The sequence below is a fragment of the Homo sapiens genome, chromosome 1 (genome assembly GCF_000001405.40).
Source record: "Homo sapiens chromosome 1, GRCh38.p14 Primary Assembly".
NCBI lineage: Eukaryota > Metazoa > Chordata > Mammalia > Primates > Hominidae > Homo > Homo sapiens.
Window position 1 is genome coordinate 242,504,335 of NC_000001.11, and position 26,424 is coordinate 242,530,758.

The 26,424-nt window shown below is 42.2% G+C and overlaps 1 protein-coding gene across 4 annotated transcripts in view; it reads right to left on the reverse strand.

Annotated features, from left to right (window-relative positions):
• Positions 1 to 26,212, reverse strand: part of PLD5 (phospholipase D family member 5) — a 447,561-nt gene extending 421,349 nt beyond the window's left edge. The window contains exons 1-3 of one of the 4 annotated variants that reach the window (XM_011544115.3): positions 25,955 to 26,212; positions 25,011 to 25,104; positions 23,247 to 23,385 (exon numbers count right to left, since the gene is read on the reverse strand). Coding sequence is in view for 1 of the 4 variants with exons in the window: in NM_001372062.1 (NP_001358991.1) it covers positions 19,754 to 19,942 (189 nt within the window). In the remaining 3 variants the exon portion in view is untranslated. Of the gene's footprint in view, positions 1 to 19,753; positions 20,364 to 23,246; positions 23,386 to 25,010; positions 25,105 to 25,412; positions 25,499 to 25,954 lie in introns of those variants that run through there. The other 3 variants (XM_011544116.3, NM_001320272.2, NM_001372062.1) reach the window with 3 other exon arrangements.
• Between the last annotated feature and the right edge of the window lie 212 nt (positions 26,213 to 26,424).

The window sequence follows — 26,424 nt, forward strand, 5'->3', positions numbered from 1 at the left end:
GTAAAAAATAGACTAATATGAGCATCAACTACTATCATTCAAGGCCCCATTAGACTACAACATGCATGAGATTTCAACCTCTAGGGCTCTGCAATCCATAGGGCCCACTTAGGAGTCATCATCCTTGAATAAAGCCAAGAAGGTTACTCAATTCATTTTCATACTAAACAAATTGAATCTTTAATCACAGGGCAATTATCAGCAAGCTGTTCTTTTGCAATTACTGCCTCCATCCATGAAAGCATTTTTTAACTGTGATATCTAAAAATAAATTCTAAAGTCTCCCCCAGAAGAAACTTATAGCTTACATTTACTTTGTAGCATATATTTTATTTGTCTCCACTTCAGCAACTTGTTTCTCTAAAAAATCCATTTTGAATATTTAGGGAAAAGGTGTTTTCTGCCTCGGTGAAACATGATTTTCCCAAATATTTTTTTTTAAAAAAACTAATTTTTCTTATTATTCTGAATTTCCAAAATTTTCTTGCACATCATAACTCTGCTGAAATGCTGAGTAATTTATATGATTTAAAACTGGGGGCTGAGTGCAGTGGCTCACACCTGCAATTCCAGTACTTTGGGAGGCCAGGGCAGGAGGATTGCTTGAGCCCAGGAATTTGAGACCAGCCTGGACAACACAATGATACTCCATCTCTAAAAAGATTAGCATAAATTAGCCAGGCATCATGGCATGTGCCTGTAGTCCTAGCTACTCAGGAGGCTGAGGTGGGAGGATCACTTGAGCCCAGGACGTGGAGGCTGCACTGAGCAGTGACCATGCCACTCCACTCCAGCCTCAGTGACAAAGTGAGACACTGTCTCAAAAAATTTTTTAAAAATAAAATTTGGAACATTAACAATAATATGAAATTATACTGGTGGTTTGAAGCTGTTCCCCCTAAAAAACTGTCAAGTGAATCACCACTTTTTATTCTGTTTTAAAGAGGACACAGCAATGAGGAAATGGGTTTATTTGTAACAGGAAGGTTTAATTAGACCCCAAGAGTAGATTTCTGAACAAGGATGAGTTTCCCTTTTCTTATTAAATATTGACAAATTGTAATTGTACATATTTATGGAGTGTACCCCCATGTTTATTGCAGCATTATTCACAATAGCCAAGTTCTGGAATCAACCTAAGTGTCCATCAACTGATGAACAGATGAAGAAAATAAGGATGCATTTCTCAGGGAGGCTGTGATGGGCACATTTTCTTCATGTGATTATGATTTTATTGTATTCCACAGACATCATGGCAAGGTTCTGCAACGTCATCTCATGGGAGTTTAAGGTTCCATGTGATGGACCAGAGAAAGGGAGACCTACCCTCTGAGCTGTGCGTTAAAAATAGCATCATTGGTCCTCAGGATGAAAGACAACGGCAGACCTCAAGTTGCCCGAGGAGCTCAGAGGTGAGGGGCATGGGTATTCTCACTGCAGTTATACTGCAATCATGTCCACATCCACAGACCAACCAGCCTGCTGGGGAATCATTACCTCCTTCACCCACTGCCACCTGCACCTCTAAGCAGAATTATGGTGTAATAAAAGCAGTGCAAGCACAAGTGTAGGAGTTGAAAATGAAAAGTATTAAAGAGACTTGAATAAAAACCAGTAAGTGAAAAACAAATATATAGCACTTGCTGCAGACTGTATAAAAGCTCCCATTTTTGTCTTAAAAACTTATGAGAAATGGTGTTACCAGTCATATAAAAGTACTAAGAGTTCTGATACATGTTAGACCCATTTGCCAAACAACCAGTAAGTGACAGGCATCTACATAGAGAATTTTAACACTGGGGGAACCTCGAGAGGTTCAACGCTTCCTTTGGCAAGTTAGTAATGATGGTTACTCCTTGCTGCATGGATGATGAACCAATTGAAAATAAGAGGGAAGGTATATACATCTTAGTGATCTATATCTAGGAAATTAAACTTAAGTTACATATTATCTGTTCTCTAGTTGGAGGCGCCTGGGTGTAAGGACAATTGGGCTGTGATACTCTCACTTTACTAAGGCATCCACGTTTGCTATTTAGTTCAAGGAAGAAGATGAACTTCCCAGACAGAGATATGAGCAGCTCAGGATTGAGCCCAGGCCGACTCTGTTGAAACTATACATACTAGAGAAGGGTTAAGGACTGCAGCGTGAGGAATAATGAGCTTCCTAGGAAAAAAAATGCATTCATGCATTCTAAATGGAAGAATAGGAAATCAGGATGTAACCCAGGCACTGGTAGAGAGGGGCAACAGTGAGAAAGACACATTTCTTCTCTCTCAATTCCACCATAAAGCTTTGCCTCCATAAAGGAATAGGCCCTAGGAAAAGAAAAGGGGCCCAGGAACAGTAAAGCTCATCTCCACAGAAAAACCTCAAGTCGCTGGAAACATAAGCAGAGCTACTTTGAAACCAAGAGGTCAGTGTGGAGCGAAATACTGGACGGGAAAAGATTCTTCCCAGTCCAGTAAAGTGGCGTAGTGCACTGGCATGGTTCAGCTTCCAAGCGGATGTGCGGGAGCTCAGGCAATGCCAGCCTCTGCACCAGTCCCAGATTCAGCATCTGCAAGTGACTATGAGAGCAATAGGACAGCAACGCGGTACTAACGGTGATCACAGCGGGAGCCACCACCACCGTCCTCAGTAGCAGCACGTGTCATGCCAAGGGTGAGAGGTGGCCCAGGCGGCAGGAAGTGGTATCCTTGGCAAGAGTACCATTTCCCAGTTATATAAGGGTCTATCTCTGGACTTTATCCAGTCAGGTAAGCTACTTAGAAGAGTAATCTTTAGCAAAACTAATGCCTAGAAATTCTTTTGATCCCTGATCACCACAAATTTTAAAACACACACATGAAAAAAATGTTTCTGATTAAGAAAAGCTGTAAAAACAGCAGGCCTTTGGCATTTGGGGATTTAATGTATTTGGTCTAAATTTTTTACCAGCAACCCTGAAATTCAATCTCATATGGTACTTCATAAACTTTTGAGACACAAATCTGAACCATGGATGTTGTGCAGAAGTGACTGAGGCCAGGAGGTCATTCAAGCCTCTACATTTCAATAGAGCTTTGCTGAAACCCCCAATTCTTCTTAGGAAGGTGCTGCACTGGAAAGGACCTTCCTTGTTATAATGATGGTCCTTTTACTATAGCAATAGTGACAGTGAATAAAATGTTAAATTATCCATGTGGTTAACTATACCTTATTGGTGACTGCCCTGAGCTATAGAATTAAATGTTAATGAATGGATAAATCAATCGACCAAATATCCTACTCAAACTGGACAGCTAATCTTGAAATTACAGCTGGCAAAGATTGTATTAAGTTTATTTCTTCTTCGAACAGGTCCATTGGCTAAAACAACACAGTTCCAAATGCAACTAGAAATCTACTCTGTTCATATCGGGAAGGAAATGTTTTCCTAGATAAATAGCCCAAATAACAGCTCAACAATTTATCTTAAAGCCCATTTATCTTGCTGTGTTTTAGTGTGGAAATAAGCAAGCCTGAGATTCAGAATAGGTGCGAGGCTAGATACTGGCCTACTTACTTTAGTGGTAATTACATTTAATAAATGGTTGTAGGACTTATTATTCTCTCTCCACGGATGATATTAAGTTTGCCTTTTAAGTCGTTTTCTCAGTAAAGACTTTTTTAATCTGTTTTTTTTTTTTCCAATGCCGACCAGCAATTCTATTCAAATAGCTTTTCACCAGTAGCAGGTTTCTAAGCTAAAGAAATGTGTGTTTGGCTGGGCACAGTGGCTCATGCCTGTAATCCCAGCACTTTGGGAGGCCAAGGTGGGCGGATCACCTGAGGTCAGGAGTTCAAGACCAGCCTGGCCAACATGGTGAAACCCTGTCTCCACTAAAAATACAAAAAAAAAAAAAATTAGCTGGGCATGGTGGTGGGCACCTGTAATCCCAGCTACTTGAGAGGCTGAGGCAGGAGAATCGCTTGAACTCGGGAGGTAGAGGCTGCAGTGAGCTGAGATCGTGCCATTGCACTCCAGCCTGGGCAACAGGGGTGAAACTCCGTCTCAAAAAAAAAAAAATTTTGTTAGGTGACCAGATGGAAATGACCAACTATATCATTTCCAACTCCTAATCAGAAGCCCAAAGACTCTTTCAGGGTTGCCATATTGAGGAGCTCTTCACCACGCTCTGTACTTCCGACAAGCACATCCTCCCATTCTTAAAAACAGGAAAGAAATAAAAGAGTACACTAAGGTCAGTACATTCACCATTCCCAGTAGCTCATCTCTGTCTGCAAATCTTTTTGCCTGAATATGTTTTCCTCAACGCTCACATTTTGCCTGGACATATCAACTTCTTTCCTTCATCTCGATACCAATCCTGTGACGGTTATTCTAAACCCAATACAAAAGTCAAGTAAAGTGAGATATCCAAATAGAAAAAAAAAGTAGCCTAATAAAATAATAAGACAACTATCTAAAAGCCATAGAGGGCCAGGCATAGTGGCTTACACCTGTAATCCCAGAACTTTGGGAGGCCAAGGCAGGTGGATCACTTGAGATCAGGAGCTCAAAGTCAGCCTGGCCAACGTGGGAAAACCCCATCTCTACTAAAAACACAAAAATTAGCCAGGCATGGTGGTGCATGCCTGTAATCTTAGCTACTCAGGGGGCTGAGGCAGGAGAATCACTTGAACCCAGGAGGTGGAGTTTGCAGTCAGCCAAGATCATGTCACTGCACTCCAGCCTGGGTGACAGAGCAAGACTCCGTCTCAAAATAAATAAATAGGCTGGGAGTGGTGGCTCACTTCTGTAATCCTAGCACTTTGGGAGGCTGAGGCAGACAGATTGCCTGAGCTCGAGAGTTTGAGACCAGCCTGGGCAACAAGGTGAAACCCCATCTCTACTAAAATACAAAAGAAATTAGCCGGGCGTGATGGCATGCACCTGTAGTCCCAGCTACTCGGGAGGCTGAGGCAGGAGAATTGCTTGAACCCAGGAGGTGGAGGTTTCAGTGAGCTGAGATTGCACCACTGCACTCCAGTCTGGGTGACAGAGCAAGACTCCATTTTAATAAATAAATAAATGCCATAGAGGGTAAATGCCTGCCTCCTTTGAACTCCTCCTTGTACACTGCTCATTATTGATGTTTTGTCAATATAAATGCTAGTTATCAGCGGGGATATTCCATCTGTTCCATGCGGCCCCTGCCTTTCTTTCTTCCTCCTTTACACTTAGAGGACATGAGGCCTTCTAATTCATCTTGTTTTTTGTTAAAGAAAATGGGCAGAGAGATAGTAAAGCTCTCCTTTTCATAAACCACCTTCAACAAAGCTCTGGGGATTGTTGTCTTCTTATTACCTCATTTTGTAACATTCCCTAGAGTGAAGAAAAGCCACAACGATGATGATAATTAATTTCATTTTTTGGCTTATAGGATACACTTATGAATAAGCCACCAATACGCCAACACTCTTGGTGTGACCAGGAAGTCAGGAGGATGAGAAGACAGGAATTACTCGGCGGCTTATTGGGAGCAGCACCACGAGCAGGCTGATCAGTGTGGAGAAAAAGCATCTTGAAATGAGAGCTAGGGACTCCAGAGATAAATGTACATTCTTCACACTTTCACACTCCTGAAACGCCCCACCCAAAGTTAGCATCAGCCTTGGAGCACTGGATTTTTGAAGCATTTCAATGCCTATCCCACCATACTTCCTTCTCTTCTTATCCATCTTTTCTTCGTTCTCATTGGAGATGTTTTATTAGTATGAATGAATGGGCTGGTGTTGGAAAGTTCCAAGTCAGTTTTTGAAGGAGATTTGAATCTCAGATAATAGTGTCTTGGCTCATGATGGCTGACTATAGAAGACCCCTTTCCCGCACGCAGGCCAAATATTCTAAGCACATACACACACACACACAAAAAAAGGTCGGAAAATAATGCCAAATGGGGAACCACGGAATACGAATGGAATTATGACTGCCAAGTGCAGAACATGATTCTCCAACAACAGACCACTCATGCTGGAAAGAAAAGAATAACAATATCTGTATGTACAAAGAAAGTGTCTGTACACACATGCATGCACACACATACACACACACTATATTAGGATACTACATAAAGTCACTGTACCACTTAGCTTGCTCTGTCATTTGCTTAGTAGAAGACGTCTCTCCATCATCTGAATGAGAGTTTACAGGCCAGGGTTATAATTAAGGATATTTCAAGAGTTTTATAAAAAGTTCAAATGGGCCCGGTGCGGTGGCTCACGCCTGTAATCCCAGCACTTTGGGAGGCCGAGGCGGGTGGATCATGAGGTCAGGAGATCGAGACCATTCTGGATAACACGGTGAAACCCCGTCTCTACTAAAAATACAAGAAAATAGCTGGGCGGGGTGGCAGGCGCCTGTAGTCCCAGCTACTCAGGAGGCCGAGGCAGGAGAATGGCATGACCCCGGGAGGCAGAGTTTGCAGTGAGCCGAGATCGCGCCACTGCACTCCAGCCTGGGTGACAGAGCGAGACTCTGTCTCAAAAAAAAAAAAAGTTCAAATGAAGATGTTTCATCTTTACAAAAACATCTGTATTGAGATTTTACCAGATATATTAAATGACTATGTATTTCTGTTATTGGAGCCTTTTAAGAGTGGACCTTGTGGGGGCTGAAAATGTAATATCATTTGTAATATACTTATGAGAAAATATCTTTAAGATGTTAGGAAGGGGCAGAACATGAGGTAAACCTGGACTATTCTGTAGTACCACAGCATAAGGAAGTTCCCCCAAATAAAAGGATGTGGACATGTCCAAGCGACACAGGGGCTCACCTAAAGGAGCTTCTCATGACCAAAGCAGGAACAACTTAAAGAATCATAAAAGTACCATCGAACTGGATTTTACCCACAACATAAGATAAATATCCCAGGGGTCTACGGATATAAATAAAGGTTTGAATAAATAAGATATTGAGGGAAAATAGACTAATCTTCCTTACAAAAAATTACAAAGAATAAATGCAATCACTCCCTAGCCCAGGAGTTGCTGAATGTGGGGATGTGGGACTTCATGTCTAGCTTCAAAAAATTAGAGTGTAGAGAGGGAAAAATAGTAACTTTATAGTGAGAAACACGGCGAACACTACTTTCACCAAACAATAAAGATGAGCATCATCGATCATGTCATGTAAATAGCATGTATGCCATGATATGATGTGACAAGAAGTGCACTTGACCTCTGTGGTACTCCATCCTAAAGCCCATAATCCCAGTCTAATGATGAAAAAAAAAAATCAGACATGCACAAAATGAGGGACATTCTATAAAAGACCTGATCTGTATGCCTTTAAACCGTCAAGGTGGTGAAAAATAAGGAAAGCTTGAGAAACTGTCATGGACAAGAGGTGACCAGGGACACACAGCAACTAAATGCAATGTGGTATCTTGGATGAGATCCTGGAACAGAAAAGGGACATTAATTTAAAAACTAGTGAAATTCAAATAAAGTGTGGAGTTGAGGTGTTAACACATTAGGGGAAATGAAAATCAGGAAAAAGGTGTATAGGAGATGCTTGTACTATGTTTGCAAATTTCCTGTAGATCTAAAGGTATTCCAAATTAAAGTTTTTTTAATAGAAAGATACATTGGGAATCTCATAGGCAGACTCTTAGCAATGTGTGCACATGTCACGGACATATCGTGGGTTGAAGTGATAGGATTTCAGGGAATGGAAAACTTAGGAATCAGTTGAGTCAGAAAGTCAGAGTAGAAGATTCTTAATAATCAAGGCTGGCCGGCCTTTAAGAGTATTTTGGTGGGTTTGGTTGGGTGCGGTGGTTCACGCCTGTAATCCCAGCACTTTGGGAGGCCAAGGAGGGCAGATCACGAGGTCAGGAGATCGAGACCATCCTGGCTAACACGGTGAAACCTCGTCTCTACTAAAAATACAAAAAAAAAAAAAAATTAGCCAGGCATGGTGGCGGGTGCCTCTAGTCCCAGCTACTGGGGAGGCTGAGGCAGGAGAATGGCATGAACCTGAGAGGCAGAGCTTGCAGTGAGCCAAGATCGTGCCACTGCACTCCAGCCCGGGTGACAGAGACTCCATCTCAAAAAAAAAAAAAAAAAATAGTATTTTGGTGGGTTTGACACATTCCCTGCTGCAGAGTGTCTTACCGTCTCTGATCAAGTGCACTCAGCCACAGCAGGGCAGAAGCTAAATAATGAGCTAGCAGATTCAGGCAAGGCAACAAGCTAGAACAATGTACTCAGGAAAAATTTAAAAAGTTAATGTTCTCCTCCAGACTAATGAAAATGGAGACATATGGAAGTTGAAACTCCCAAAACAGTCTACCATAAACAATAACACTGGATATTGACATAGATCACTAAAGTGACTCCATTTCCCAAGTCTCAGGAGAAAATCAATGAAATCTCAACCTGTGGGATGGTTCAGATGCAGCCTTGTATATTACCTTCTTCATCTGACAATTACAACTGTGTGAATGCCTAATCAGTAGTTTCTCATGCAAACCTGAGGTTTCTTTCCACTGAATTCTTTTTTATTTTTTCTTTTTTTTTTTTGGAGACAGGGTCTCACTCTGTTGCCCAGGCTGGAGTGTGGTGGCACAATCATGGCTAATTGCAGTCTCGTCCTCCTGAGTTCAAGTAATCCTCCCACCTTAGCCTCCTGAGTAGCTGGGACTACAGGCATATAGACACGTGCTACCACGCCTGGCTAATTTTTTAATTTTTTGTAGAGACAGGATCTCACTATGTTTTCCAGCCTGGTCTCAAACTCCTAATCTCAAGCGATCCTCCCAGTCCAGCCTCCCAAAGTGCTGGGATTACAGGCCTGAGTCACCTGCACTCAGCCTCCAGTGAATTTTTGTCGCATATGACATCTGTAGCATTCATCTGGCAGGTAGCATATGCCGTCTTATTCTTTCACTCAAGGGTCTAAGCCCTGTCTCACTCAACACACATTCATTCATTCGTTCACTTGCTGTTTCAATAGTCAAGTTTATCAATATTAGGCATCTACTAGGCACTGTGCTTGGCATTAACAGTACCTTCTTATAAGACACCATTGCTGCCCTCAAAAACTTTCCATTGAGGGCAGAGATAGACAGCCAATTAAAACAAAACAGTATTGTTAAGGGTTATAATATGCTGTCCATGGTGTTATGGGACCACAGAGGAGGGACACCCAACCAGGTTTTAGGTTTAGAAATGATGACATGTAAATTGAGTCTTGAAAGACAACCAGATCATAAGTAACCCGAGGCCAAAGGCCCACTCATATATGCTGAATCTTCCGAAGTCTGAAGCTCAACTCCCTGTAGGCAGTAGGTATTGGAATGTTTGTTAATTATAATCACACAAAGATGGATAATATGAATCAAGACCATAACAATGGTGTGGGTCCAAGATACAAAGAGCAGAATTCCAACTCTCAAGTAGTCTTTGGAATTTTCCCTGTTCATTCTTGTGTCCATCATGCCAATCACAACTTCTGGCACATCCGTGGCACTCAATAAACGTTTCCTGAATGAATGAGCTTGCTCAGACTCACCAGATCCAATTCAACAGGAAGTCCCATGAGCTCTTATTTTACAATACTTCTTGCATCGGTGCCTCATTAGTTTTCTACTTCCATCACCTCTTTTTACTTCCCTTTTCACAATTCCTATATGGACCACTAAAAAAGATGCTACACTGGTCTCCCCAATTCTAGGCTCTCATTCCTCAACACTGCATGCCACCACATTTTCTGAAACCTGGGCTTTTCAAATAAAGTATCTATTCAAATATCTCCCCTTTGCTTACAGAATAAAGCCCAGTATCTTCCAAGTCCTCAAGCCCATTAATCTACCATTGTGGGTGTTTTTACACCCAATTCTTCCTAAATAAACTCTGTCCCCAGATATACTTGTTAAGTCACTGCTCTCCCAAACAGTTTTTGGCTGTCCAGATTCTGCTCAAAAGTCTTAATTCAGACCAGTCCTACAACTGGCAGCTCTTCCTCCAGGTCCTTACCAGTACGAACCATCACCAAGAGTGAGGCCTTCCTTGATATCCTTCTCTGGACAAGGCATGATTTAAGGTCTCTGAAGCAAGAAGGTCACAATTCACTAAACAATTGCTCCTGGAAGGAACTCCAGAAAAAGATAACTACTGGGTACTGGGCTTAAGACCTGGTGATGAAATATGATACAACAAATCCCCGTGACATGTGTTTACCCATGTAACAAACCTTCACATGTACCCGCCCAAGACCTAAAATAAAAGTTGAAAAAAGTCAAAAAGAAAAAAAAAAGAATGTTTTATCTTCCCTCCTGTTGAATAAAATATAGATGTTCTACTAAAAAAGAGAATTTATTAAAGAGTGAGTAGTTTAGTGGGAAAGGCAAATAAAGCTCTAACTAGATACAGTGTCTTATGTGCAATGGGATAACAGGGAAGGTTGTCTAAAGCAGATGGGGAGGTGAGGAGAGGGAAGGACCCAGGAAGCCATACAGGGAGAGGTGACAAGCAGCAGTCACCCACATGAAGACAACAGTGACAGAGAACATCAAGGACAAAGACCTCCATGGGTTAGAGAGGACAGGAGAAGCATAGAGTCTGAGGAGGTATAGCTGGAGAGAAGCAGTAAGCAAGGCTAAGGGCACTGTACGCATTTTATTTATTTTTTGTAAACTATCATGGAAATCTACATAAAGATGCAAATCTTCTGTGTATAGCTCTGTAAATGTTTACTTCGTAACCAACACCTAAAAATAGAGATAGAACAGTATTAGCTCCCCAGAAGCCTCCTTCGTGCCCATTTTACCCTCAGAAGTAATCGCTAATTCTGAGTCCTAGTTCCATGCTTCAGCTTTGCCTTTGTGTGTGCGTGTGTGTGTGTGTGTGTGTGAGAGAGAGAGAGTGTGTGTATCACTACTGTTGCCCAGGCTGGAGTGCAATGGCACAATCTTGGCTCACTGCAACCTCCACCTCCCAGATACAAGCAATTCTCCTGTCTCAGCCTCCCAACTAGCTCGGATTACAGGCATGTGCCACCACACTCAGCTAATTTTTTTGTATTTAGTAGAGATGAGGTTTCACCATGTTGGTCAGGCTGGTCTCAAACTGCTGACCTCAGGTGATCCACCTACCTCGGCCTCCCAAAGTGCTGGGATTACAGGCGTGTGCCACCACGCCTGGCCAGCTTTGCCTGTTTCTTGACATAAATGGAATCATACTGTCTATGTCTGTCTTCTTTCGTTCATTATTATGCCTGAAAGAGTCATTCACATTATTGCATGCAGATGCAATAGATATATATAAAATCTCTTTTCAATGCTCAATGTATTACACTGTATGGATAGACTACAATACATTGTCCATTCAACTATAGTTGGATATTAGGGATGCATCCTACTGTGAACAACTAAAATAATGCTTCGGTAAGCATTTGTGTATATGTCTTTCATTAACCTGAGCACACATTTATTTGATATATACATAGAATTTAAATTTTATAGGTCAAAATATCAAAAGATGTGTTTAATGTAGTAGATACTGCAAAAACAGTTTTCCAAAGCAGCTATGAATGAAGTCCTACCAGAAGTTATGAGAGCTACAGATGCTCCCCATTTTCATCAATACTTTGGTCACTGTCAATTATTTTATTTTAATTTCAGCCATTCTTGTGTTTGAATAATGGTGTATAATTTTGTTTGAATTTTGTACTTCCTTGATAACTAATGACATCAAGCACCTTTTCATGCATTTACTGCCCATTTGATTATCCTCTTTTGTGAAGTTCCTGTTCAAGTGTCTTCCTCACTTTTCTGTTGGGCTGTCTACATTTTTCTTATTGATTTGTAGGTGCTCTTTACATATCCTGGATTAAAACTCTTTGTCAGAGTGTGTGCTAAAAATATATTCTTCTAAAGTTAAATTATATATATATATATATATATATATATATACATATTCTTCTACTTTGTGACTTGTCTCTCATGCTATTAATCAAATATTTTATACACAAAAGCACTTACTTCTAATATAGTCCAGTTTACTAATCTAATAAATTGGGATTATTAAAACTGCTTCAAAATTTTTCCTTAGTCAAGTTGATGAAGAATTTTTTTATTACATTTGTTCTAGAAGCCTCATTTCACTTTCCAATTTAGGTTTACAACTCATATTAAACTGATTCATATTAAAACACAAATGAATACGTATTTTAATGTGGATATGCAACTGACCCAGCACCCTTTTTTGAAAAGATTATCTCTTTCCCACTGCATTACAGAGTCACTTTTGTCATAAATCAAGTATCTATCTGCACAGGTCTGTTTCTGCACTGTCTAGTTTGTCAGTTGATCCATTTGTTTATCCTTGCACCAATACCACACTGCTTTAATTAATCTAGCTTTAGAATAAGTTTAGATGCCTGGAAGCAGGCTTTGTTCTTCTTTTTAAAGATTGTCTTGGCTATTGTTGGCCCTTTGCATTGCCATATAAATTTTAGAATCATTTTTCAATACACACACACACAAACTTGTTGACATTTTAATTGGAAATGGATCTACTCTATAGGTCAATTTAGGGGAGAATTAAAAAGAAGTCTTACCAGCTTTTATTAAATTTATTCCTAAGTATTTGACATATTTATGTTCATGTAAATAGTAATGTTTTTAAGTGTTAGACTGGAATTTCTAATAACTAAATTTTGCCTATTGGCTTTGAATCCAGTGGTCCTGATAAATCCAGTGACAGTATTAATTCATTAAGTATATCTGTAGTTTATTTTGTATTTTCAAATGTACACAATCATACTGTCTGCTAGTAGTGATAATGTCGTTACACATTTTCAATTCTTATATTTTCATTTCTTTTTCTTGCTTTATTGTATTGTCTACTACTTCCGTACAATGCCAACTAAAAGCGATGACCATGGACATCTCTGTCTCACTCACAATCTGCACAGATAATTTTTCAATAGTTCGCCATTAACTGTGATTCTTTTTAAAGAAATGGTTTATCGGAATAGTAATGATTGCTTTTATTTCTTGTCAGTTGAGAATGTTGTCATGCATGGGTACACAATTTCATCAAATCCTTTTTCTTCCTCTGTTGAGATAATTGTATGGTCTTACTCTTTTATCCTATTAATATGATAAAATATAGTAATTGATTTTCAAATTTCATATCAACTTTGCATTACTGGAATAAAATGAATTTTGTTATGATACATTATCATTATGTATGACAGTATCCATTGCTTATTTTTTTTAAGTATACTTTATCATCTAAACAACCTGTCCCTTGAAGGCAGTATTCTTACACTATTAATAGTTTGCATTTTTCTATTTAATCATAACACTGCCATTATATTGTAACTCTGTTTATACAACTTTAAACATCTTCAGGGAAGGGACCCTGCACTGGTCTTTGTATTTAATAACATTGTTAATAACACAGTATATGTCAAATAAGTGCTTGTTGAATTAAAGACCTCACAGCTTCCTAACACAGTATCTTTCACATGAAAGACACTCAGTAAATATCTGGTGACTGATGAGTTTGCCAATTGGTATTTTTTTTTTATGTCAATGAGTCCCATCCTCTCAAATTAACTCCTCATGTTATTGCTGGATCAGACCTAACAACATACTGGCAGGAGCACAGTAATAGCTCAAGTCAGTGAAACACAAGGCTCTTTGCCTACTCTGGAGGATAAAGAAATATATTTATCACCCAACGGTCATGACATCCAGTCCCATGATGCCCAGGCAGGTAGTTCAACTTGGGCCGACTTCAACTGGCAGGCACAGTCAGACTTTCCAATGCAGATAAGGCTACCTGGGAAAGTTTGCCTCATTCTTCACTTAACTCTTTCATAAGGGCTAGATTTGTGATTTTAGAAACTGGGCTCTTTTTCTTTCCGAGTAAAATTTAAACATGCTTTTTTGGTTAAAAGGGCTATCTCTTAACAGCCACAGTTTGACCTTTCAACTGCACCTCAACATTTACGTTGTACCCTAAACTTTTAGCACATAGTCTGTGCAGGAATGGATCTTAAGCAATTGGGTAATTTTAATGTCCTCAATATATACAGTTTAAGCAACATTTCTGGTGTGAGATCGTGCCACAGACTCCACGTCTGTCTAACTATGCCATCTATCAGTCAATTCAGTAAGAGAACATAACTTATTACAACTACTGCCATGTCCCAGAATTCAAAGGACTCATCAGATTTATTTGGAGAAGAACTAAGAACTAAAAACTGTTACTTAAGTTTAAACCTGAGATAGTTATAGAAGTCTATAGAGAGAAGTAAAAACTTTTAGAGAAACTAGCCAGAAATTGGCATGTAGCTATTATATGGAAGAAGAGATGAAAAAGAAAACTTGTATTCAATCATCCAGAGCTTCTCAAATTAAATATATTAAATATGATATGTCCCTATGATTATGTTAAAATAAGTCAAGCCACACCCAAGAGAGTTCATAGAAACCAAAAATTCTTCAAAAGACACTGCAATGTCAACCTGCAGTGAGAGAAGTCCGTTAGTGGGTAGATATATGTCGACTGTAGTGGTGACAAGGACAGTGATGGACATGCCCTGAGATCCACTGGAAGACACTCATGAGACATCTACACTTTCATGTCTTGACTGATGAGTTGGAGGCGGCAGAGAATCCTGCCTCCAACTATAGCTTGTCTGTGTTGTTTATCTAAAACCGCAGGAAATGATCCCAGTAAATGTTAATGTTCTTAAGCATTTGCCAGACTCTTTGTTTGTTTGTTGGATTTTTAAGGGAACATTTTAAAGATTCATTCCCTTAGGTTGAACTCTGTCTTCTGGCGCTTAACGGATCCACCCTGTGGGGTACAGTATTTTCATGGATCTGCTCCGTGGGACAAAAATGACATTACATAATATGAGCCTAGACCGCTGTGACCAAGTGTGCTCCAATCCATTTATCCTTTGCTCCTCATGTAAACAATTTATTCCAGGAGGCAAGTGTGCACTTGGCATTTATTTACTATTCACTGGTAACATAAACTCTGTTTAAGTAGGTGCAAATTCACACTTAGAGGAGACAATCTTTTTTTAAGTGTGAGGCACTTACTAAATAAATCAAGATACTACGGCTCACTACAGGTGAGAACATTAAGGATTCTGCTTTTATGATTTACCAAATCTGTCTTCTGCTTTCTCTTTCAAATTTAAATGGGCTTTCTGAGACATCCTGCCGATAAATGAAATGTTGCTTGACTTAATTCCACCAGCACAAGCTGGGAAGAGAAGCAGAGGTTGGAGAGAGGACAAAGAGTTTGTCTCTGCTAGCAGGACCAGCTGAGAGAGTGAGAACCAGAAAAGTCAGCCTCAGAATGGCCAGCCACAGAGCAAGCAAGGGCCCCACTAGCCAAGAAGAGTCAGGCCCCCAGATGATGGATGGGAAGCCAGGCAAACAGACAGCATAACAGGCCCAAGACAGTGAGCCAGCCTTGCCGACCAAAGGACCACTCACTTAGCGTCCAGGATCATCATACAGGCTGATCTCAAATTTGAAATCTGGAAGCTCTTTGGGCAGAGTGAGAGGACTCAGCCCTAGAGCCAGGCAGCACATGAGAAGTCATATACCTACAGTTACTGTGTATTGAGCATTTAATACAGGCCAAACACTGCACTAAGTGCTTTGTATGCTGCAGCAGTCTTGTGAGAGCTGGTCACAGATGTTCCCTTCCTTCTGGGTCTTAGCTGGATCCCCTTGTGCTACTCTGGAAGTGAGCCTTGACCATGAACCTTTCTTTGGCCAATACACATGAGTCATATGAATGGATGATTTCTGGGCGGAAGCATTGAAAGCCTAAATCATTACATGATTTTCCAACTGCTCTTTAGCTGCTTTGGCAGCCACAAAAACAATATCAGAATGGAGCTTCCATTGGGCAAGGCAACCAAGATGAGGATGGTCCCCAGCCAATAGGCACAGGTGAGATATGTGAGGTGGAAAGTATACTTTCGTGGTGTCCGAGTCTCTGACATTTGGAGAATGTTCGTTCCTGCACTACAGACATGGATTGTCTTGTTTCATCATGGCAAACCAGCGACTTCTCTAAGGGGGAACACAGTTGTGCATCTTGGTAACTGTGAGCCCTTTGCCCACAGAATTAATAAGAAATGATATCGAAGTCTGAACCCAGATCCCTCTTACCAGAGCTCCTACTCTTAACCACACTTTGACAGGAGCTAATTGAATAAGTAGGAGAGAAAATAAGGCATCTCCATCTTCATAAATAGCACCAGGAAACCTCCGTACAGTGCAGCTGGCATAAAACCAGGCAACAAAGTAGAGTGGGCTTTGCATCTCTTCCCCTTTAAAAAAGAAAAATGTTCAAAAAAGCATACAGCACCAAAGGATGCCAGCCTAACGCCATGTTATCCTCTGGGATAGTCACATCTTATTAAATGGTTACCTCCAAAGCAACCCAGCCCTAGGGAGGCTGCAAGAGCAGGGGTGGATTAGAGGGTTTGGAAGTAGTCCCTTGCTCCTCTTGCTTTGCTGGACCAGAATCCTTCACTTTTACATTAGACCTAAAGTAAATACAGGATCCTACAGAGAACAGAACTTCCACTGTTTCCCAAGCCTAATGCCTTCCAAAGCTCTGGACATTATGAAGCAGAACAGGAAACAAAAGATTTTAACAACCAAGAGCATTATTTGTAACTAATAATACAACATTCTGTGTATGGCCAGCAATTTTACTTTTTCCTGAAATTTCACAGTGGAATTCAAAGTCCAGAATTCTTGTTACAAAACACGACTTCCTCGCAGCTTCTTATTCATTATTTTAGTATGGAATGATTCTCTATAAACATTTATTTCTTAGTAAGTGTTCATCTTAAGTGTCGACCATCCAGTGACAGGAACCATATTTAAAGATTGATTCCAATCCTCAACTAATTCAGGTCATTTTTTTCTTGTCCAACCTGAGAATTGGCCCAGCAGCCTTTAAATCAGAAAAGAAGAAATAAATTATTCTCACTTTTAGCAAAGTGGGTGGAAATCCATTCTTTGGTTGTCTGCTTTATCTCACATGATTGACTTTCAGATTAATCTATCCCTCTGAAGTCTGGACAGAGCCCACACACTGCCACATTTCATTTCAGGGGAATTCTGTTATTATGATGACCAAATATGTGTGTCATTTGAAGTCATAACTTATTTATTTCCTTAATACTTAGATTGGCTTTTAAAGCACCAGCAAAATAACTGAGTAGGCTGTTTTCAGGCATATGATCTCCATCATAATTATTAATTTATTTTTTCAACATCATAAAAAAGTGGCCATCCATTTGATTAGACAGACCAGAAGGGTGTTTTTAAACTACCATATATCACCTTTGAATTTCACATGACACACTCATCCTAATCCCTGCAACATATGAATCAGAAGGTACCATATATGTTCAGAATGTTGTTTACAATGAAGTCAACATTAGATTTTCATGCTTTCTGTAGCAATGATACCAGGTTACATTTGTTATAGGTTTTTGACATCTCAAACATTAATTTCTATTAGAAATTACCATCAAACTACCTGAAATATTATAGTGCATTCAACATGACGTATATTATAAACAACTAGCTCTTGAATTCAAAAAAAATTTATATTGTATACTAATTTAATTTTTCATAGCACTTTCTTTAATATTAATTCATTAAAAATGTTCGTGATGTTTCAAAGGAGCAAGAGAATACCACCAATAAATTTATTTAAAGCCCCATTTCTAATTGAAAGGGTGTGTAGAGAAAAACATCAGAATAGATATATGCATCTCTCATTAAATGTAGTTGAAAAAGTAAAACAAATGCTACACTGATTTAAATATCAAATGAGGAGAATGATTTTTTTAAAAATGTATGCAATGCTCTCTTTTGGAGTATCTGAGTGAAGAAGAAAGCATAGATGCTCACACGCTTTCAAATAACCACATCTTCCTTTCCCTGGTCTCCAATCCTCAGAGGAGGCTGAGCATCCCATACTCATGCAGAAAGGTGAGACTGCTGTGGCACACATGGTATGACTTGATACTTTCAATGAAAATCTAAAAGTGAGAAAGCATTTAAGTATAATGCGTGCACCGCTCATGACTCAAGACATAGTCATAGAAGGCTGCACCACTGATTTTCAGTAAGAGAATAAAGGAAATAGACCAGCTAAAAGCACAAACTGCAAAAGAACATACATTCAGAGTGAAACTAAAACGAAGATACGTTCTATCACCCTCCCAAGGCTAGACTGTTATCCCTGATACTAAAATCAGCCACATCATTGGTTGATTACATGCTCTTTGCATGTAATGCATAAAGATGCTGTTTGCCCCCTTTAAACTAATAACACCACCAGCCCCTTCACTAATTCTGGAGAGGGCATGTTTAATGGATACGTTGCCTTTCAAACAACTTGCCATCCTAGAAACCTTCAGCGACTTCCATAGTCTTAAGGATATGAGGCATCCCTTTGACATTAGCAAATGGCTCTCTACACATAAAATAGTGCTGTTATCCAACTCAAAGCTTCATATTAGAGCTTTCAGTGACTTCATCAGGCCCTCAGAAAGCAGGCACAGACCTTCCTTTCAGATTATTATAATAGAGAAATGCCCCTTCTTCGCGTGTTTCCTCCTGGGAAGAAGCCTGTTGGTGCTGCAGAGCCCAGGAGGAGTGCTTTGGGGGGCAGATGGGAAGCAGGTCGGTGCAGCAGTTGGAAATGCGTGAGTTCCAGGAGTTCTTGGTCTTATCTTTTTTATCATTGTTGGCGTCCTGACCCAAATACAAGGAAACCTCCACATTCCATTAGCAGACTCAATTTGGATTCTGCAGCTCTGCAGGGAGAAATAGCATCTTCTCCTTAGCTAGTTGTGCTGCACTCTTGAGATAATTCTCTTAGTTTAATTTTAACATTTGGTTTAAGAAGATGCTGATGGATCAAATTTGAAACTGTGGATCCACTAAACGCCTTTTTAGAAGGTTTTTTTTTTTTCTTTCAAAATAGCAAGCCTTAGGAGCTCAACTCCAGAGCCAATTCACTTCGCGTGAAGTCGGCACTCCTTGGGAGTAGAGGTCCCCTCTCACCGGCTCCCACCCTCCAGAGGGGAGGATTTCTGGGGAGCCCGACGATCCGCTCGCTTTTAGCCTTTCTCCTTGCAACGCGCAAATCTCTCCCTAGTTGGGCTCAAGTAGAGAGGATCACCAACTGCTCATCCCAGCGGACACTCTGCAAAAAACTCTAATGGCTTGTGCGCGGGTCCACGCTGGTCGCTAGCGGCGCCAACTTTACTCATTCGTTAATTTGCTAGTTTTTGGACTGAGTAAAACAGCCCCCAAAGACGCGGGCAAACGCCGCTCTAAAGCCCACTACCATGCAACGCCAGGTTGCTCGGAGCCACGCTGGTGGCACTTCCCCTTCGTGCTCACTCTGCACAGGCACCTCCAGAACCCCGTGCAAATGAACCCTACCGGGAGACGCAGGTGGGCAGGTCGGGTCGGCAGGGACCAAGAGCCTGAAAGGGAACCTGCCCTCCCCTCCCCGCAGCCCGGTCATTAAGGCAAGAAACTGCAGGCAGAGAAGCCCCCGAATCCGACCTAGGACGTCGGCGCCTGCCAGGATCCCCTCGCCTGCCCCCCGCGCCCCGCGCGCGCTCATGCCACCACCACGGGGAGGGTGCATGCGGCAGGTGCCTGGCCGAGGCCCCCGGGAGCGAGTCGCCCTTACGTGCTCCAGCTTGTCTTTCCTCCGAAGCCAGACGCTGGCGCTGTAGTCCTGCTGCTTGACGCTGCTGTAGAAGTTCGCGCCCACTCGGGTCAGGCTTGGGGAGGGCTCCTTGGGGCGGCTTTTGAGCCTCATCTGCTCGAAGCCCTCATGGGGGGAGGCCGAGAGCCACTCGTGCTGCCGGATCTCCATCCTGACATGACCGGGCGGCCGCCGGCGAGCAGCGGACTCGGGACGGGCGCGCGGGGAGCCGGGCGCGGAGGGCGAGCGGGAGGCCCAGCGGGAGCCGGAGGTGGAGCTGGAGACTGAGCTGGAGGAGCTGGAGGAGCGAGCGGGCGCGGGGAGCGCGGGGTGCTGAGCGCCAGCTGGGAGCGCGGCCGGGCGGGAGGGGGCGATCGCGGGAGGCGCGGGGCGGAAGGAGGGAGGGCGAGGTGCGGGCGGGGGCGGGGGCGGGGGCGGAGGGGGACGGACGGGGAGAAGGGGGACGAGAGGGGACAGGGAGGGAAAGGAACCTGCTCCGGGGAGACAGAAGTGCCCGGTGCGGCGGCGACGTCGCCCGGCGGCTGCGGTCCCGAGCGGGCGCTCCGCTCGCCGGCTCCTTGCGGCACCTACTGGGACCCGGGCCGGCTCCCGGGGCGGCGGCGGCGGCGGGGGTGGGGTGCGGTGGGAGGGGCCGCGGCTGGCCCAGCCAGCCCGCGCCTGCAGGTTGGTGCAGTGAGGAGCCGCCGCCGCCCCTCCCGCCGCGCCCAGGCCCGGGCGGCCGCGCTCCCGCTCCGCACCCGCCTTTCCCGAGCAGGCTACACCTCTCCCTGGCGCATCTTTACTGGAAAGCCGGCAGGCGAGGGGAGAAGTGAGCGCCGTCTCCGCGCCTCCTCGGTCCTGCTGGCTGAGCGCGGGGATGGCTCCGGAGGGAGACACTCAGGAAACCACCTCCGCCCTTCCCCCATCTCTATCCAGCGGCGCCCCCTCACCCTGCCCCCGGCTCGCTTGGGCTGCGCCTTCCCCCATTCTGAAAGTTCACTAACTTCCCACCCCAAGGGACTTAGAGCAGAGGGTGCCCAGCATTCCCCCCTGAAAATAGCCGAGAGACATGTGTTTTCTGGAGCCGTACACGCTACTTTCATCCGATGGTGTGGCGATGCAAATACGCCCGGGGGCAGTAGCCCCTCGGGCAGGCACGCGGGACCGGTTGCTCCCCAGCCCTCGGTGTCCACCTAGAACCGGGCTCCCCGGGCCGCACCCATTCCGATCCTGGGAGGGTGATCCAGGGCTCCTCTGCAACGCTCCGCTTGTGCGGTGACTGTTCCTTAGGTGGACGTGGCCCAACTGCTGTGCATTTGTTTCTTTTCTCTGTTTCTAGGCCCCTAGGGTCCAGGCTTTTCCTTCGGGGCCCAGCCAAGCGTGATGATTATTAGGAATAGGGTGGCTTGTTCGCGATTAAATCTTCAATCTCTTCATCTTTTGCTATCTTTGGAGTCAACCTCTCGAAACATTTTTTGGTTTTATCTAAATGCTAAACAGCTGGTGTTCAGGGTGTCTCGTGTCTGGTTAAAAGCTTGGGAAGTGTATGGAAGCTGGAGAGGTATACAGGGGATTTTAGAGGGTGTTGCCAAGGGTAAACTGAAGGCTCTCTAGCCCTCGGCAGAACTGCCCTACTTGAATGACGGTTTCAAAGACATTCTGGCTGGGATTTCACAAACTTTTAGGAGGACAGGGATTGTGTTTCATATCTTTTCAAAGTCTCCATTTAAAAAAATGGTATAGTAAAAATAGTAGTTGAAATAAAATCCTGTGCACATTCAATATGGGGATGAAACAACTAAACACAAATACACACATTTTGGTTGTGCTAGGTTGGTTTTCTTAGGAGCTGAACTATATTGTGCAATAGATGCCCCGACCTGTGGGCTATCTCTAAGTCTCATGTTATCCTGCAAGATAAATGTTATTAACCCTCCTTTCCAGTGAGGAAAGTGAAGCAGAAGCAGAAATTACACTTCAAAACAAGGATATGAACCAGATTGAAAAGCTGTGAAGGCCAGGCGGAGTGGCTCAGGTTTGTAATCTCAGCCCCTTGGGAGGAGGAGGCAGGAGGATCACTTGATCCCAGGAGTTCCAGACCAGCCTGGGCCTACACTAAAAATAAAATAAATTAGCCAGGCGTGGTGGTGCTCATCTGTGGTTTCAGCTACCTGGGAGGCTGAGGCGGGAGGATCGCTGAAGCCTGGGAAGAGGAGGCAACAGTGAGCCGATATCGCACTGCACCCTGGGCGACAGGGCAAGACCCTGTCGGAGGTGAGGCTGTGAAAACTATACATTCCATTGTATAGCATCTCTGATAATTTTGTTTGTTTGTTTTGTTTTGTTTTTGAGATGGAGTCTCGCTCTGTCACCAGGCTGGAGTGCAGTGGCGCCATCTCGGCTCGCTGCAACCTCCGCCTCCCGGGTTCAAGCGATTCTCCTGCTTCAACCTCCCGAGTAACTGGGACTACAGGTGCACGTCACCACGCCCAGCTAATTTTTGTACTTTTAGTGGAGACGGGGTTTCACCACGTTGGCCAGGCTGGTCTCTCAAGTGATCCGCCAGCCTCGGCGTCCCAAAGTGCTGGGATTACAGGCACGATCTGATTTTTTTATTATTACACTTTGCCCTACTATTCACTGTCCCCCAGTTTTTACTATTAAAGTTTAGCCTCCATAGCTTATGCTTTCTTTAAAGTATAACCACACAATTTAAATGACGACAAACAATTATACAGTCTTTTATAATATTGTTAACAGAAAGATGTTATTGCCCTTCTGCAAAGAATACCTCTGCCTTTTGCTGTATGAGATTAGGTATTTGATATAGCCAAACCTTGACAAGTGATAGATATCCAATTCAGAGTAATAATGAACTGTTCTACCATAGAAGAATTTAAACAAATGGTTTCCATATTGTGCCAGATTCTCAAAGTAAATAGATTTTTTTTAAACTATACCTTTATAGGACTATACATAGTGACTGCAGTAGTTGCTACTATCTCCTTCTTTTTTTTTTTTTTTTTTTTTTTTTTTTTTTTTTGAGATGGAGTCTTGCTCTCTCACCCAGGCTGGAGTGCGGTGGTTCCATCTCGGCTCACTGCAATCCCCACCTCCCAGGTTCAAGCAATTCTCATGCCTCAGCCTCCCAAGTTGCTGGAATTATAGGCATGCACTATCACACCCGGCTAATTTTTGTTATTTATTTTTAGTAAAGGCAGGGTTTCACCATGTAGCCCAGGCTGGTCTCAAACTCCTGACCTCAAGTGACCTGCCCGCCTCGGCCTCCCAAAGTATTGGGATTACAGGCGTGAGCCACCGCGCCCGGCCAATCTCTATTTTTTGAAGAAGGTACACTGGTGGCATAAATATGACAGCATACTACTGAATTGAGCATTATAATTAATTCATAGATCACATTTGTTATGATCAAAAATACTAGTCAAAATATAAATTTTTACAGTTTCATACTTACTTGGTATGCAGTGCCAGACTCAATGAACCCAACAAGTTCAAATAAACCTGGGCGCAGACTTATTCATAATTATTTTTCTATCTTGGATTCTTGTCCAAGTTAATCGTTTATGCCAGTAATATGGAACTTGCTTGTTGACCTTCAAAAGAATATTTCATATAAAATTGAACCCAACTGAAACTGTTGTAGGGAAGAAAAATAGTGTTTCTGAAGATGGCCAGGTATAATATGAGAATTTTGCACCAAAAATATTACTGAAATGTATAATTACTGAATTTCTACATTAACTTCCACAGCACTTTTTCCAGCACATTTTCATAGCCATTACATTTTCTGAATGCAACACAGGTGTTATGGACCATCCATCCTACTAGCCCATTCGCTTCTTGGGAGCTGGAGCCACTCCTGATTCTTTACCGTGCTGTTAGTGCCTTACATATAATAAGCTTCCAATAAACTATGGTGAATAAATGACTGAATGGGTGCTAACACTTGGCAACATGTTTTTGCTTCTTTATTTTGAAAAACACTGGATTTGACATTACAATATTTAGATTTTAGTACTAGATCCTTTAATTACTAAATTGTGACTTTCATGGTTTTCATTGTATTTCCATAGCCTTCAAGTTCATCCAGTAAATGGGGAATAATCATTGCTACCTCAAGTGATTGCTACAGGGATGACACATGAGAAATTTCTGTATAAACTATAGAGTCCAATGTTACTGTTCTTAGAACTTTCAGGCCCAGAAATATTCTTTATGTCATTCTAATAAGTTATCATTTTCATTAGCAGCTATATCAATTAATCCTGATTGCTTATAATTAATTATAGAAACTGCACTCAGCTACAAATTTGAATTCTATTGAATTCAAACCTAAACTTAACAGATGTCATTGACCAGGAATTGTTAATATTGTCTGAATTAGGCACTTTGCATTGTCATAAAATTTAAGACCAAAAGTATCAAGAAGTGGGAGTATTTTATTAAAACTTTCATAGTAATGATAATACCTTACATTTCCACAATAGTTACATCTGTAGCACATATCACATTTACTCCTTGGAAAAATATCTGAAAGTAGTCTTGGTACTTGCTATCAGTTCCATCTTTCGAAAGGAGGAAACCAAAGCTCATGGAGGTTAAATGACCTGCCCAAAGCCATGTAAGTCAGAGAGTCTGGTCAAAAAGCCAGGTTCATTGACTCTCAATAAAGGATTTCTTTTTTCACCATGTCCGATAAAAAAATCTCAAATATATACTTCTTAGCAATTATAAGTTGTATTTTTCACAGGTGTAGTGTTGCCAAGTATTACTACATTTTGTCAAAGGTTTACTACTGAAGAATAAAACATGTTAATACTTAGACCTTCCCTAACAGCATGCTTTATGTCCTCCTCAATTACCCTTATACTATACAAGACCACATAAAATCATTGACCCAAGAATGGCTCTATTCTTTGTTGTCAAGAAATAGATTCAACAGCTAAAAACAACATGACTTTCCTAACCACATATGTTAATTATAGGATTATTTCTGTAGAAACAATTGAATAATTTAATACCAGTAGAACAAAATTAAAGTAGTCCCAGATTGAAAATGTTTTCTGAAGAATACATAAGCATTAATATGAGAAGGGTCTTTTATGTTACAGTATTTTCTTTAGCCTCGTAGTTATTATTGATTAGTTATAAAATGACAATGAAGGTTTTTTAAATGTTACATATTTAATAAAGTGAACTTATCTATGTACAAACTTACTTTAGACTAAAGATTCTCATTGTTTGACCACCTACTCCAGTCACTGTGTGGGCTGGTCCTCAGAGGCATTATATCACTTTTTTCTCACAAAATCCTGCAAAGTAAACAGAGCCATCCCTATGTTACAGATGAGGAAACAAAGACCCAGAAAGAGTGACCTGCCCAAGAGACACAAGGACCAAGGGGCAACACTATGGCAGAAACTCAGGGTGGCTCAACTCTAAATGCCTTTACACAACACCAAACTGTATGGTCTTGCTTGGGTACATCTCTGCTGGGCTGAGAGCCCCCACAGTGACCTGGAGAGAACTGGGGAGGAGAGGGAGAGGTCAACTAGCCCCCAGAGCGAGATCCTGGTAGAGTGGGTTTATACTGTGAGGTCGAGGGTCCCAATTTACTTACACAAGGAGAACCAAATCAGATGGCACTGGGATCTTCCTTCCTTCCTTCCTTCCTTCCTTCCTTCCTTCCTTCCTTCCTTCTTCTTCTCTCCCTCCCTCCTTCCTTCCTTCCTCTCTCTCTTTCTCCTTTCTTTCTTTTTGAGACAGAGTTTCACTCCTGTTACCCAGGTTGGAGTGCAATGGCACAAACTCGGCGCACCACAACCTCCACCTCCTGGGTTCAGGCGATTCTCCTGCCTCAGCCTCCTGAGTAACTGAGATTACAGGTGCCCAGAGTAACTGAGATTACAGGTGCCCACCACCACACCCAGCTAATTTTTGTATTTTTAGTAGAGATGGGGTTTCACCATATTGGCTGGACTGGTCTCGAACTCCCGACCTCAGGCGATCCACCTGCCTTGGCCTCCCAGAGTGCTGGGATTACAGGCGTGAGCCACCATGCCTGGCCGGCACTGGGATATTTCTGAGAGTTAGAAACCCTGGTTGTCGTGTTGGCTCAGTTGACAATCAACCAGCTGTGGGGACTCAACCAAGATGCTTTACCTAATTGAATCTGTCAAGATGCTATGGTTTGGTCACAAGGTTTGGCCTTGCAGTAGAGCCTTGGACAGATCCATCACATCAACACAGAAAATTAGAAAATGGCTGTCCTAAGAATAAATAAGTAGAAAATAGGATAGTTGAAATAATCTAGCGTGACTAAAAGCTTCTGGTAGGCAACAAAAAAGTCTGAATTCTCCTGACTCAGTGTAGATGGATTAGGTTAATCAGACAGTTGCCTAAGTTGGCACTTCATTTGGCCTTTGTGCTCACAGCCATGGAATTGAGAACACTTCAAAATCACCCAGAATTCTAAATTCCACTTTGATTATCTGAGGTGATCTTTTATGTATCAATCATGGTACCCAGCATAAAGTATGTGCAACTCAACAGTAAAAAAGGAAATATATGAAGATAATATAAGCCACACTGTAATTCTTAATCATGCTTACATTTTTGAAACTGAAACCTAA